The 15,024-nt window shown below is 53.4% G+C and overlaps 1 protein-coding gene and 1 long non-coding RNA gene across 5 annotated transcripts in view, besides 2 other annotated features; one reads left to right on the top strand and one right to left on the bottom strand.

The window, feature by feature from the left end:
• TMEM266 (transmembrane protein 266) overlaps nt 1-15,024 on the bottom strand; it is a 144,979-nt gene that overhangs the window by 22,531 nt on the left and 107,424 nt on the right. For all 4 annotated transcript variants that reach the window (XM_047432151.1, XM_017021915.2, NM_152335.5 and 1 more), the window contains 3 exons: nt 12,561-12,617; nt 11,302-11,440; nt 6,759-6,874 (listed from right to left, as the gene is read on the bottom strand). In XM_047432151.1, coding sequence (XP_047288107.1) covers nt 6,759-6,874; nt 11,302-11,440; nt 12,561-12,617 — 312 coding nt within the window. The remainder of the gene's footprint in view (nt 1-6,758; nt 6,875-11,301; nt 11,441-12,560; nt 12,618-15,024) is intronic.
• Nucleotides 547-596: an enhancer, noted in NCBI's record as "active region_9875". NCBI's record gives its function as "activates an Ori minimal core promoter by ATAC-STARR-seq in GM12878 lymphoblastoid cells {active_cell/tissue: GM12878}" and the evidence as "EXISTENCE:reporter gene assay evidence [ECO:0000049][PMID:35858748]".
• Nucleotides 807-856: an enhancer, noted in NCBI's record as "active region_9874". NCBI's record gives its function as "activates an Ori minimal core promoter by ATAC-STARR-seq in GM12878 lymphoblastoid cells {active_cell/tissue: GM12878}" and the evidence as "EXISTENCE:reporter gene assay evidence [ECO:0000049][PMID:35858748]".
• On the top strand, nt 947-7,542 carry LOC101929439 (uncharacterized). The gene is made up of 3 exons (NR_120360.1): nt 947-1,481; nt 3,649-3,887; nt 5,963-7,542. It is a non-coding gene; the product is annotated as an uncharacterized LOC101929439 (long non-coding RNA).

The following is a 15,024-nucleotide window of genomic DNA, read 5'->3' as shown; positions in this document are numbered from 1 at the left end:
GACCTCCTGACCTCGTGATCTGCCCGCCTCGGCCTCCCAAAGTGCTAGGATTACAGGTGTGAGCCACCGCACCCGACCTCTCTCTTTTTTTTAACCCTTACTGAAAGCCTCCAGCAGGCCAGATTTAATTTGATGCATATGGCATCCACACGATGTAGGCCTTGTTACCTCCAATTTCCCCAATGAGAAGCTGAGGCTCAGGGGTTAAAGGGAAGATGACTGGTCACTGGTGGGGCTGAGGTTTGAATCTGGCTTGCTGGCTCCCCGAATAAGAGGATTCTTTCCACTCCTCCAAGCTCCCCGACAAGGGACTCACCTTTCCCAAGGTCTAAGGATGTCCTAAGGGGCTCACAGGTCCCACTGGTCTCCTTGGAGGCTGGACCTTGAGTCACCCCGGATTGAGCCTCATATCCCTCAGTATTTTGCCAATGATCTCAGGGTGAATGGTGCTGAGGAAGCAGAACGTCAGAGAAGAGAAACTAACTTCCACAGTGGGCCAGGTCAGATCATACTATTTTGTACCAAAAGCTGTTACCAGGCTTAAACATGAAAGAGCGGGTGTAACGGAGACTTCAGAATGTGTTTCGGAACTAGAGCGAGATCCCACGCATGGAGGTACATAAAACCTCAGAGGTGGTTTCGTGAGATGAGTCAGAAGAGTATATCGTTGCATTGATTTAACTGCTGCATCTAAAATGGCTTTGGTTTCTGAAGCAGCCAAGACAGAGAGAGAGACAAGGCATCCACACCGTCTCTCTGAAGGGCAGCCTCTAGCATCGTGACTTTGGACTCCATCTGTGTACCAGCGAGCCTAACTCGTCATGAAATTCTGGCCAAGATCCACCCCTCACCAAAAACAAACAAACAAACAAAAAGAATGGAAAAGAACTTCCACCTAAGGAATTGAGGAATTGCTGAATTCAGGGGTCAGAAGCCATGTGCTTCTATCACAGCAGCGGGGAGTCTGGAAGGGACTGCAGAAGGCATGGCCAGGGCTTTGGAATGGTATGACTGACCAGCAGAGAGACCTCCTCCCCTCCCGGGATCCTCTAGGCACCCCTCCCCAAGTAGGAATCTGTTAAGCATGAGGTGTGTCCACAACCAGAAGAGATCATAGGAATGAGGGAAGCAGTGAAGCCTGTTTCCCTGTCAAAGCCAGAGGGCCAGTGTGATCCAGGAGGGAAGGCACTGGAATGAGCAACAAGAGACCTGTTTTCGTCCTGGCCTCATAACTGCTGTGCCACGTTGGGCCCACCTCTCCCTTTCTCTGAGCCTCAGATGCCCCATCTGCCAAATCCTGGATTGGGCCAGCTGCCCTCCCCAGGGACCTTTCATCTGTTATATAAGGTGATTCTGGAGCACCTTGCATGTGGGCCTGTGACAAGAAATGAACTGCCATGTAGCACAGAAGGTGAAATGAATCAGATATTCATGCAAGAAACTGGCCAACAGGCTCACCTGAGAGTCTCCACAGGGTCACGGTAAGAAGCAATGTAATCTTTCTTAAAAAGTTAAGATGGGCTGGGTGCGGTGGCTCATGCCTGTAATCACAGCACTTTGGGAGGGTGAGGCGGGTGGATCACCTGAGGTCAGGAGTTTGAGACCAGCCTGGTCAACATGGTGAAACCCCGTCTCTACTAAAAATACAAAAATTAGCTGGGCATGGTGGCAGGTGCCTGTAATCCCAGCTACCCGGGAAGCTGAGGCAGGAGAATCTCTTGAACCCAGGAGGTGGAGGTTGCAGTGAGCCAAGATGGCGCCACTACACTCCAGCCTGGGTGACAGAGTGAGACTCTGTTCCAAAAAAAAAAAAAAAAAAAAAAAAGCTTAAGATGAAGAAACAGAGAGTAACTGTGCAGTGGAGACACCTGACCCACGCTGCCCCAGCCGGGTGATCCAGGCCGCATCACAGTGAGAAGTCACGTGGCCAGTGTGTCCTCTTGATGTGAGACAATAAGAATGGCACTTTCCTTCTGCAGTCTTCCTCCCAAAACCCACAACCCCAGGCTTACCCTGGGAAAAACATCAGACGAATCCCAACAGAGGGGCATCCTGTAAAACAAAAACACCCGACCAGTGCTCCCCAAAACCCTTCAGGTCATCAGAAACAAAGTCTGAGAAATTGCCACAGCCAGGAGGAGCCTAAGCCTACTGAATGCGACGTGGAGCAAACAGAGGACATAACAGATTAAATACTAAGAAAACCTGAGTACCGTATCAATGTGGGTTTGTTCATTGTAACAAATGATACTAGTGTATGATGTTAATGATGGGCAGCCAGGCACAAGGGATACAGGGAACTCTGCACCTGCTTCACTATTTTTTGGTCAATATAAAACTGTTCTAAAAAATAAAGTTTATTTTTTTAAAAAGAGCTGGGTGAAGTTGTGGCAAATAGTTGAAATAGTTGTACAAACACACCCCAGCAAGAGAGCAAGGGAGTGAAAAGCGTTTTGTTTTGTTTTGTTTTGTTTTGTTTTAGAGACAGTCTTGCTCTGTGGCCCAGGCTGGAGTGCAGTGGTGTCATTACAGCTCACTGCAGCCTCAAACTTCTGGCCTCAAGCAGTCCTCCTGCCTCAGCCTTCCAGAGCACTGGGATTACAGGTGTGAGCCATCGCGCCAGGCCAGGTGTTGTATTTAAACTGGGACCCTAACACATTTCATTGGTAAATGTCAATTTTTCAGGCAGCATATGTGAATTCAGTTTGGAAATGTCTTCATTATACTCTGAGAATTCCAGCAAGGAGACAGCAAGAGTTTGTCACAAGGAATACTAGACTGTCCTGGAACGGGGTTGGGGGCTGCCATTGAGACAGCTGAGGGGAGCCAGGTCTGTGCCTGCAGTATAAAATACCCCATGCATAATCTGATCAATGTTTTTGCTGAGTGCTAAGTGCCATGAGTAGGAAAAAGGAGGCTCAACGTGATGGGCTGGAAAAGAACAGTGTTCACAGTTAGGACACCTGGTTCTATGCCCCCCTGGACTAGCTGTGTGCCCCCAAGGCGAGCTGCCACTGCTCAGTTTTCTTATTTGTAAAATGGGTGTGTGGGGCAGGTGTGGTGGGGCTGGTGGACTTCGGGGTCCACACCCATTAGTTGCTACCCATCATGTGTCAGGCTTTAGGCTACGATCTCATCACCATCCTTCGAGGATTCTATTACTACACCCATTTTTCAGATTAGGAAAACCAAGGCCCATAGATGTCCCATTAATGCCCAAAGCCACAAGGCCAGTAAGTGTTCTAAAGAGAGACACACCTGGGTTCGAAGCCAGCTCAAAGTCTATTTAGAACCAAGTCTATTCTCAACCATTCCATGGGCTGCTGTCTCCAAGGGTCTAGCCATCTCTGACATTCCAGGGCCCACAGTCTCATTTCCTCCAGGGTATCTGTTACCCAGTCAAGTCTCAAACCAGGTCTGAAAATACAGCTGCAAGTGAGGCATCTGTCTGCTTCGCTCTGTGGAGTGGGCACCACAGACTCCAGGAGAGCTGCCCTCCTGGTCCCTCTGGCCAGGCAGCCCCCACCCTCCCCGGTGGCCCCACTGGGAGTCCAGCCTGTCTGGCCCTTTCTGCTGTCTTAACTAAGATGACAGGCTTCAGGTGTTTTTTAAATTAAAATGGTTCGTTTCTGTTCATCTCTTTTCCAGATGTCGCTACCTAGAGGGAATCTGTCTTTATTTATTGGCTCTTTCCTGTGCAGAATGCAAGGGAGTCTCCCTCCGGCTGAGACCCCCGGGAAGGAGGCCACATGTGGAGGTGACTTGAACCAGGACGGCAGGAACCTGGGGTCCCCGGGGGGCTCCGGACAGAGGTCATGGTGGAAACCCTGGGAGGTGGGGTTGCCGTTAGGATTTTCTCCTGGCCACGTGGCGCATGTGTGGCTGAGGTGAGGTGTGCGGCAGGGTCAGCGCGTTCCCTGCTGGGCTGGGAGGCTGCGAATTTATGAGGGGCGGATGCAGCCCTGTGTCCGTGTCTTTCACGTTGCCAACTGCAGTGAAGTAGAGCATTTGTTTTCCTGTTCAACAGCAGAATGAGAACTGCCTGATCGGCTTCCAGTCGCTTTCTGGATGACACCCTGCACTTTACTTTCCCCACTTCCCTGCAGCCCCCTCTGCCTAAAGCCCAGCTTCTCTCACCTTCTTCTCCAGCCTCTGTCCCCAGTCTTCCTGTCTCCACCCTGCCCTCTCCATCCAGCCTCCAACGGCAGCCAGAAGGCTCCATCAACAACTCACATCTGAGCAGATCCCCCAGTCCTGCTTTTAATCCTCCAGGCTTCCTCTGTCCCAGCAGGATAAAGCCCAAACTCTCTGGTCAGCCACAGAGCCCCTTCCCAAGCCTGTCCCCAATCCTACTGCCTCCCTCTGCTCACCCTCTAAATGGCCCCGAACCCCGGGGGCACTGCACCCACTCGCACACCCCACACTGTTCCCTCTGCCTGGCAGCCTTCTCCCCAGGGCTCTGCTCCACATCAGCTCCTCTGGAAAGCCTTCCCCATCCTGGCCTGCAGAGCCCGGGACGTGCCCATGTGATACAGGCATTGCACCAGATTTCCACTGCCTATTTATGGGCTGCCAAACCCCCTGAGTCACCCAGAGCCCCGTGAGGACGAGGGTCACACCCTGTCCTAGGCGGCATCCACATGCCCGGCACAAGCCCAGCACAGAGCAGCTCTGGACGGTGCTGGCTAACCACGCGATATGGCAAGAGAATGAATGAAGCTGATGCCAGCTCCTCAGGAAGGGAATGCTTCTCTTCCTAGTCTAGGATTCCATAGCCTGCCCTGCTCTCGGGACACCTTGGACAACGTGCCCCTGAGGGCCATGTCCCCTGATGACCCCTCTTGTCACGCATAGGCATTCTGTGCGAAACAAAAGGTCATAGTGTTCCCAAAGCAGATAAAAAGATTGGTTTCCTGACAGACATTCCGAGGGGATGATTCTGAAGACACTGTGTGCGTGTTCCTGTGGGGACATTTCCCAGGATCACTTTGTTGTGACATTCCACAGACGTGTCCCCCACCCCAAAACTGTGAGAGGCTGGGGTTGGTCGAGGAGCCAACAGGTACAGTGAATATGCATTTACCAAGACCCGCAACAGAATACACATTTACCAAGACCCACGACATACACTGAACACACATTGACCAAGACCTACAACGCGCGGAGTGCTGGCTGGGGCCGGATGTGAGTTGGACTAAGGCTTGCCTTCAGGGGGCATCTATTTCAGCGGGAAGAGCTGCCCCAGGCATAAAGGAGCACTGACCATGGCAGTGAGTGCCCAGTGCCCTGTGAATGTGGACAAGTGAGGGCTGCTGCAGGGCTGGGGGAGGAGGTGCAGAGGCTACTGGCGGGGGGAACATGCTCTGTAGAGAGGCTAGGACTTGAATTAGACAGACAGAGCTTGCAAGGGGCGGGGATTCAGGCAAGGGGCACAGCGCAACCAAAACCCAAGAGGTGGCATGGCACAGGGCTTGTCAAAATGACAGGTGACTCCACTTGGCACAGTCGGGGTGTTTATGCACCAGACACATGAGAGAGGAGGTCGATAGGACGGGCAGACACATAGCAGGCCTGTACGCCACATGAGACCTCAACCCTGAGGCCACCTTGGAGACTGCCTGGGCACCCAGCAATGGGGGAGGAATAGGGAGCCCAGGGGTGCCCATCCTCACCGCACTGCAAGCCAGAAGGGCTCAGTGCCCACATCAATATGCGGCCACGGGCATTCCTCCACTTTCACTGGCAGGACATGGGCTGGAAGACAGCCCGTGAAGAACTCGCCTGGCCCTGGGCACAGAGAGCCACAGGCTTAGCGTCTCTGGCTTGCGCAGCTGGGGGCAGTGGCCCTGTCCTCTCCCCAGAATCCATCGGGCAGAATGGGAATGACCATGCATGTCATTTGGACCATCCCCCACATTCCCACCACCTTGCCAGTCCCCTCAGTAGCATTCCCACCTTACAGCCTGGGACCGGACCCTTCCCTGCACACCGAGCTGCACTTCTACAGAGCTCTCAGCCTTGCTGCGGGATCCAGCAGCCACCCCCTCCTGAGTACCCCAATCCCCCTCCTCTGAACTCCTCTGTCCCACTCACATGGGAGCAGCCACCTCATCTTACAGAGGAAGGAACTGAGGGCAGAGGGGTGGCCCAACTTGGCCGGAGTCCGGCGGGGTGGGAGCAGCAGGGCTAGGCCTTGAATGCAGGTCTCTGGATTCCCGACAGGGTGCCCCTGGCCCAGCTGCCAGTCCCCCTTGCCTCTGCTGAGCCCATCCTTGCAGGGCCCACCACCTGCCTCTCTGAGTCTGCATCACATCTCCTGGAGGGTAGAGAGCACCGCTAGCATCTTTCTGGGGCCCTGGGCGTCCCGCGTGGCAATGGGCATACCATGGTGCCCAGCAACCCTCAGCAGACAGAATTAGCGACTGGCTTTAGAGACCGACCATGTCTCCGAGAAGACTCTGATGAACTGAGGGGGCGACTTGGCAGACTCAGGTTGGGGAGCTGAAGAGTCACCGTGCTACAGTGGAAAGAACCCTGGCCTGGGAGTCAGGGTTGAGTCCATGCCTGGCTGGGCTATACATCAGTGAACCTGGAGATGTGTCCCCTTCTCTGGGCTTCAGGTTCCCCATGAGTCCAACAAGGGGCTGGAGGAACTCCCTGACCTCTGGTGCCCCTGCAGCTCTAGCAACCCATGGCTTTAGGCACTACCAGTGTCCCCAGCAAGACCACGGACAGAGCCGAAAGTGGCAGTGCATTACCCCTTGCTCCTGACAGATCTGCGTCAGCCTCTCCAGCTGCTCGTCTTGGATGACCTTGGCCTTCTCGTACTGCTGGATAACCATCTCCATCTCCAGCTTCACTGGCAGGACGTAGGCTGGAAGACAGAGACAGCCCTGTAAAGAATTCAGCAGTGGCAGGGCTTGGACTAGGGAAGGGCGGGCCCAGCATTCAGGCAGCAGCAGGTTCGAGGCCCTGGGCCATTTCTGTGGATCTAGAAGGGGAAATGTCCAGGTACCCGAGAGCATCCAGAAAGTACAGAGGGCCACAGCCTTCGCTCATGGTGTCCAGGGTAGCTGTTTTCCTGTTTTCCATAGTGCTAGAACCCATACTTTTGGGCTGTGTGCACAGCTGCCTGGAATAAAGACTATTTTCCAGCCTCCTTTGCAGCTATGGGTGGCCACAAGACCACCTTCTGGACCATAGGATGCTAGTGGAGGTGGCATGCAGCAGCTGCAGGAGCCTTCTTCACAAAGGAGCTGGGGCCAGTGAGGATGGGGCGGCCCTGGAGCCTGCACACACTGGCGGAAAGGAAAACGGGGCAACCACTTAGGGAAACGGTTTGTCCGTTTTTCAGAGTGTTAAACAGAGAGTGACCATATGACCCAGAAACTCCATTCCTAGGTACCTTAGGGGAAGGAAAACATGTGTCTACACAAAACTCGCACATGAGCATTCATAACAGCATTATTCCTAACAGTCAAAAAGTAGACATAACCCAAATGTTCATCAGCCGATGAATGCGTGAATAAACTGTGGTCTAGCCATGCAGTGGAGTACTACTTGGCAATGAAAAGGGGTGCAGTCCCGCCACCAGCCACAACACAGATGAGCCTCAAACACATGATGCTAAATCAGAGTGGCCAGCAGAGAAAAACCACGTCACATGATTCCATTTATATGAAATGTAATGGAACAGAACAGGCAACTCTATAGAGATGGAAAGCAGCTTAGTGCTTGCCTAGGGCTGAGGTGGACATGGGAAGTGACTCTGATGAGTGTAGGCTTTCTCTTTGGAGTCATGAAAACACTCCAGACTTAGATTTTTTGGTGATGGCTGCAGAACTCTGAATATACTAGAAACCACTGAATTGTGAACTTTTATTTTGAGATGGAATCTTGCTGTCACCCAGGCTGGAGTGCAGTGGGCGATCTCAGCTCATTGCAACCTCCGTCTCCCAAGTTCAAGTGATTCTCCAGCCTCAGCCTCCCGAGCAGCTGGGATTACAGGCACCCGCCACCACGCCTGGCTAATTTTTGTATTTTTAGTAGAGATGGGATTTCACCACGTTGGCCAGGCTGGTCTCAAACTCCTGACCTCTAGTGATCCACCCGCCTCAGCCTCCCAAAGTGCTGGAATTACAGGCATGAGCTACCATGCCTGGCTGAATTGTGGACTTTAAATGGGTGGATTTTACGGCATGTGAATTATATTTGGATGAAGATGTTTAAAATGAGAAGGCAGTGGGCCTTCCTTTTGCCTCTTTATCCTCTTCCCTTCCTCCTTCTTGGCTAGGATGAGGATGTGATAGTTGGCACGGAAGCAGCCATCTTGGACCATGAGGTGGCTTTGAAAAGTAGGCTAAGTGCAGCAGAGCAACAAAACAGAAAAACAGAAGGAGCCTGGGCTCTTGACTACAGGGAGTAAGTGACTGTAGTCAAGGCCATATCTGTCTTGGACCACCTTCCCACAGACCTCTTTTTTTTTTTTTTATTTTTTTTTGAGACCGAGTCTCACCCTGTCACCCAGGCTGGAGTGCAGTGACATGATCTCAGCTCACTGCAACCCCTACCTCCTGGGTTCAAGCGATTCTCATGCCTCAGCCTCCCCAGTAGCTAGGATTACAGGCGTGCATCACCACACTCAGCTAATTTTTATATTTTTAGTAGAGACGGGGTTTCACAGGGTTGACCAGGCTGGCCTCAAACTCCTGCCCTCAGGTGATCTGCCTGCCTCAGCCTCCCAAAATGCTGGGATTACAGGCATGAGCCACCATGCCTGGCCTGCAGACTTTCACGTGAATGAAATACGCTTCTGTGTTAAGACACTGTTATTCTGAGTCTCTGTTACTCAGATGATCCTATTTATAACTGATATAGTGAGACCCAGAAGAGAAAGCCTGGCCTCTGAGGTTGAGGGCCCTGTGCTCCACCAGCCAGCAGTAGTCCCACGGACACCTCCCTTGGTGGTTCTGTGGGTTCAGAGTAGCTCTGGGCTCCTGGAAGTCTCAGTGTCCACTCCTGACTTTAACACAGCCTTTCTCCTCACACTGTTCCCGCACCCCTCGAAACCCAGCCCTTCCTGACTCTTCAGAAGCCTCGGTCACATGCCTCTCTTGCCCCTGATTTCTAGAACCCTCCACATTTCCTCTCTCCAAGTCTCCTTTCCACCCACAGCCTCTGCACCTCCAGATGTTTCCTGGCTGTTGCAGGAATCAGCAGAGAAGAGACATTGGGACTTTTCTGCTTGAGGACCGGCCACGTGTCCCTGAGACCCATCTCCAGGTCCAGAGGCCGCCCCAAGATGCCGCTGCCTCCTCAAATCTCTGCTGAAGCCAGTTCACACCCAGGGTTAATTTGCAAGAGTAGCAAATTAACGCCCATCTGTTCACCAGCACGTCTCTCTCCTGAGGCTCCCGGTAGCTCCGTGATGCCTGATGTGTCAGGAAAAGGGCGGGACAGCTGGGAAGAGCGTCACAAAGGGGGCTCTCAAAATCCATTAGTGTGAGGGTGTGCGGCTGTTCACAGCTGGAAGAAAGACCCAGAAGGCGCTGATCCTGCCCCGAGCGGGGGTGGATGTTCTCATGGACAGAGCCAAGAACAGGGCCCTGAGCAGACTGCAGGGAGTGAGCAGCCGAAAGAGCGCTGGTGGGTGTCAGGGGTCTTAGGCTCCACTTCTGGTTCTGAGCCTGATTCACTATGTGACCCTCATCCTTCTTGGCCTCAGTTTCCCCATCTGTCAAATGAGGGGAGTGAACCAGGTGATCTCCCAGAGCCTTCCCAGCCTTCCGAAGGCTTCTGAAGTGAGACCCAAACACATTCCAGTTTGATGAAGATTCCCTACTGGGGGATCCCTGACAAGATGGCAGCATCTTCATCAGGACCAAATCCCACAGTGTTCGCAGGGTGGAACATAGGGTGAGGCCCAGGGAGAGGGAGCCCACCCTGAGGGTGACAGCTTCTGCCTTGCACCTGCGTGGCAAATGCTGGCGGAATATTCTCATGGCTTCAATTTTTATCATCTGCAATCAAAATTCAGGGCTGGAAAAGACCATAGCATCTATCCCAGTGGTTTTAAAACCGTGCTCCAGAAGGCCTGGCAGTTTCTTAGAGGTGCCTCAGAGGGCAAGGGAGAAGGCAAGTAGGTGGGCTGTGAGGCCCCTCCACTCCAAGTCAACCAAAGCAGCTCCACTTGCAATCTCTTTTACAGACTGGGTACGATTTTGCTGAAGAAAGGGCTTTGCTGTCAACCAAACCAAACCAAACCAACAAAACATCCTGGGAACCACTGTCTATACAACCTCCTGGTCACTCTAGGGGGACCTCTCTTGGAGGCTGACCAGCCCCCTATGAGTGGCTCTGTTCCTTATCTGGCTGAGGTGGGGTGGGCCTCTTCGTCCTGTCCTCAGGGACCAAGGACACCCTCTGGAGCCCAGCGACTTGAGTCTTCCCCCTTCCATAAGATGACTTCAGTGTCCTGCCTCTGTCGTCATCCTCTGGGTCACCCCCCACCCCCAGTATCCTGCACCATTCTTCAGGGGTGGGTTTTCTGTCCCCCATGTCCTCTGGGCCACTCACTCTGGTCTGTCACCACCTTCTGGAAACACAGGAGCCACCCAGGTCAGGGCACAGCTTTCCAGACAAGAGTGGCCCAGTGGGGTGGCAATGATAAAGCAATGACAAAGGAGTGGACCAGATACTTTCTGCAAATGGAGACCCAGGGATGGAAAGGCACGTCACTAAAGATGACAGAAGCACATGCCAAAAGCCAGCCCCTGCCAGCAGCTCCCTTCTCTACTTGTTTGCAGGTCAATGGGCTTGTGGGCAGCCAGATTGTCCTTGGTGGACTCAAAGGTGAGACAAAGCCTGCAGGGAGCAAGGCCTTGACTAGATGACCTGGATAGAGCCAGTGGTGAGGCTGGCAGCCATCGGGGAGCCAGCAGCAGGTGTGCATCGAGACGCCCAGGGTGTAAAAGTCTGCTCCTTCCAGAATGGCAGGCCCTGCTCTAAGGGCTTGCATGGGGGCTGGCCCCCCCAGGCTCACAGTAAATAGCTGCATGGGAATGAACACATGGCCCCTAAATGGGAAGTGGGAAGCTCAGCGTGTACGTGTGACACCCTGGCAGTGTGCATGAACGCGTGATGGCGAGTGAGCAGGGACAGCTGGCCCCTCTCCCTGCCGACAGTTTCACCTTCCGTCCTGACGCCAGCAGGGTGTACCCCCATCACACGGCATCTCCTCTCAGTTGAAAGCCCCACTTTCTGGAGCAGCCCCACTGACCACACCCCCCTCGGGCCACTCACCATCAATGACCCTCTTCACCCTCCAGATCCGGAGCATGATGATGAGGCTGATGGCGTCCCAGGGGCTCCTGGGTCCATTGGCCACAGTGGATGCCACCATCGGAGCCAAAGATAGGATGATCACAGCCCCGTCAAACACCTGTGAGAGGAGGCCCATTTCAGTGCCCTGGGCCCTGCCGTGTGTCCGGGACCAGGGGTCAGTCAGGCAAAGCAGCTGGTGCTGCCCAACTTTTCCAGCAGCCCGGGCCCCCACCAGAAGGCCACCCCACCCCGGGTGGCCCCTCCTGACCCTCCTGAGTCTTTAGGGGCCTCCTCCTCCTAGACGTTCTCCTGAATGCACTCTGTCCTCCAAGTGACCTCAGCCCATCTCCAGCCCTTAGTTCAGATGGCCTTGGGCTGTCTTGCCCCTTCTCAAGATAGGGCCTGCATCCTGTATCCCAGGCCCTGGGCAGAGGCCAAGCTGGATCCCTCCCTGGCAGGGCAGGGGCTGAAGGCAGGCTCAGGGTGCCTCCTTCCCCGAGGGGAACAGGAGCCCGGAACCCGCATCTCAGCTGTGTCCAGTGCAGAGTCTCTAACTCTCCAGCGGGGCAGGGCTAGGTGAGAAGTGGGCCCAGCCTGCACAATGAAGCCCTGGGCCCTGCCCTTCCGTCCGCCTGCCCCAGCCTGGCCGTGTTCTGAGCCATCCATCGGCCAGGCCCACTGTGTCAGATCCCAGCACTGTGTCAGATCCCAGCACTGAGCCAAAGAGGCTGAAATATAGATGGAGAGGTGAGGAAGGAGTGGGCAGCAGATCTGGCCGCCTTGCCTTGTCTGTGTGCACAACACTGCCAGCGACAGCCAGGCCTCCCTGACCTCATCCCACCCACCACACCCACCCGTGTGGCGGGAAGCAGAACGGAAACCCAGCCTGAGAAGCACGTTGACAGTTTCCCGCTCAGCTTTCCATTTAGGGTGGATTTATTTGTTTTAAAACACATTTCAAAAGCTTTTCAAATTGATTCAAATTGTAAAATTTTGCAGAACTTCAAGGAGTTCTGCATTCCTTTTAACATTCTAAATGAATGTTTCAGAACATTCCTTTGCTGGAAACAGTCTCAGTTCCCCCTCCCTGCCCCACCCAACATGCACAGCCACAGAGGTCAAGTGGGAGAAGGAACCAGCCTTCTTGATGGTGTCCACCCTGGAATGGATGGGACATGACGTTTTCCAGCTTCCAGGATGGCAGAGTGGGGGCTTTGGGGGTGGACATTGGTCTTTACCTCTATTTTGTTTTCGATGTAATCCCAGATCCCAAGCACCACAATCCGTAGAACAGTCTGAGGAAAGGAAGTGAGAAAGTGGTTATTCTCCAGGTCTTCCTCCAGCCGAGAAGATTCCAGAGCTCAGCACTCAGAGCTCTGCTTCTGCATTCAGTAAAAGGAAAAGGTCTCCGCCATCCACTAAGCATTCCTTGGCCCCTGTGCCCTCTCCACTCCCACTGCCAGTGCCCCAGCTCCAGCCTTCGTGGTGGCCGTGCCTCCTGCTGGTTCCTCTGCCTGCAGGCTCAGACCCCACATCTCTGTGCCATCCCCTGGGCACTGCTGATGCCATTTTCAGTGCTCCCTGTACATACAGAATACACTCAAATCCCTTGGAAGGATACTTAGGACCTTGCCTGCCTCTCCTGTGTCATCTTTTGCCACTCCTGTCATGCTGCAAACCACTTACGAATCTTCAAATATACAAGCTCTCTCTCTCATGGCCTTGTCTTTGCATGTGGCAAAAACGCAGTTGACTCCCTTCTCCACTCCCCGACCCCAAATCTCCTCCCTCCTTCCTGTACAATAACTGAAGCTCCAGCATGGCCACCCAACTAAAGACTACATTTCCCAGCCCTCCTTGCATCTGGGAGTGGCCTTGTGACTACATTCTGGCCAATGGGTAGCAAGCAGAAGCACCCAGTACAACTTTTAGGTTGTGCCCTTAAATGAATTAGGCTCCTCTTCCTCCTTCCGTCTTCCCAAGGCCCAGAATTGGGTGCATAAGTGTGATGGTGTGCCATCTTCAACCAAGGAGGGCCAGGCCGCAAGACAAAAGCCTGCTGGGTCCCCAACAACCCCAAGCCTTACCTATCCACTTAATGTGTTTTTCCGTGAGAGAGAAATGGACCTTGCCTTGTTTAAGCCCCTGTATTTTGGTTTTCTTGTAACAGCAGCTTGGCCTGTGCCTAAGCCAGCAGGGCTTTCCCCTTCCTGTCCTTCTGGCTTGAACGTCACCTCCATGAAGCTCTTGCACACTCCCCGGCTCAGCTGGTGCCTCCTTCCTGGGTGTTCCTATGGTTTCTGGGCGTCACCCTCCACAGCACTGCCTTGTACCTTGTGCTGATTCCCTCCCCATCCCCCAGTGGAGGCTCAAGGGACCTGGTCTGCTGTCTCTCTTTTATCCCTAACACCTGGCATACAGTAGCCACCAGGCGATTATGCACTGTGGACAGATGAACAATGCGTGCATGAAGGAATAATTCCCGAATGGTGCTGCCTTCAGGAGCGGTTTCCTCACCAAGAGGACATCTTTCTCCAAAGAAGCCCCTAAATGCTGGTCTCGTAAGATGCCGGTGCATTTGTCTGCAGGCTCTTCCTTGAGCCAAGATGACTTTAATTCACGGTGATTCACACCAGATGGTGCCCCTCTCCCGCATGCCTGTAGTACAAGCCTAGCCTTCTGAACTCTGCGAAGCTGCCTGGAGGATCATCACCCACAGCTGTTATGCCACAGAAAGGCTTGGCTGGTAAAATCCAGCTCTTTCTCGTGAAGGACAATCTTGATTTCTGTGAAGGGATGGGAAGGTGAATGCTTGTGGGGGACAGTCATGTTGCCTTCTCTGAGTAGAGAGAGGAGCATGTGGCAGCCCGAAGTCCGCTCCGCTATAACTTCCCGGTCTCTGGGTGGGTGGCCCCACGCTTAACTGCGAGACAGCTTGCAGGGGTGGGGAGAGATCTGGGTGGGGTGGCCACAATGTCTTGAGATCAGAGCTCAATAATGGGCTGGTTGTGTGGCCTTGGGCAAGTCAAATCCCGTCCCTGGGCCTCAGTTTCTCCTTCTGCCAGAGAGGTGGGTTACATGTTATAATCCTTCCTATTTATGAGAATAATATCTGCCATCTACTATATGTCTGTGAATGCCAGACCCTGGGCCAGCCCTTCTAACATGTGATTCCCATTTTACAGAAAGGGTCAGAGAAGTTAAGGAAGCTGCCCATAGCCACACAACCATCAGGAATGAAGGTAACATTTGGACCCAGAGGTTTCTGGTTCTGCAGAGTGTACTCAGCTGTGTAAGAACACCATGTAACAAGCAGGCGCGATGGCTCACACCTGTAATCTCAGCACTTTGGGAGGGCAAGGCGGGCAGATCGCTTGAGGTCAGGAGTTCAAGACCAACCTGGCCAAATGGTGAAACCTCATCTCTACTAAAACTACAATCATTAGCCGGGTGTGGTGGTGCACACCTGTAATCCCAGCTACTCAGAAGGCTGAGGCAGGAGAATTGCTTGAACCTGGGAGGCGGAGGTTACAGTGAGCTGAGATCATGCCACTGCACTCCAGCCTGGGTGACAGAGAGACCCTGTCTCCAAAACACACACACACACCACATAATAATATGGTTTCTTTTTTTTTTTTTTTTTGAAACAGTCTCACTCTGTCGCCCAGGTTAGAGTGCAGTGGCACGATCTTGGCTCACTGC

This window comes from Homo sapiens, chromosome 15 (genome assembly GCF_000001405.40).
Source record: "Homo sapiens chromosome 15, GRCh38.p14 Primary Assembly".
Lineage (NCBI taxonomy): Eukaryota > Metazoa > Chordata > Mammalia > Primates > Hominidae > Homo > Homo sapiens.
This window is presented reverse-complemented; position numbering and strand designations above follow the sequence as displayed.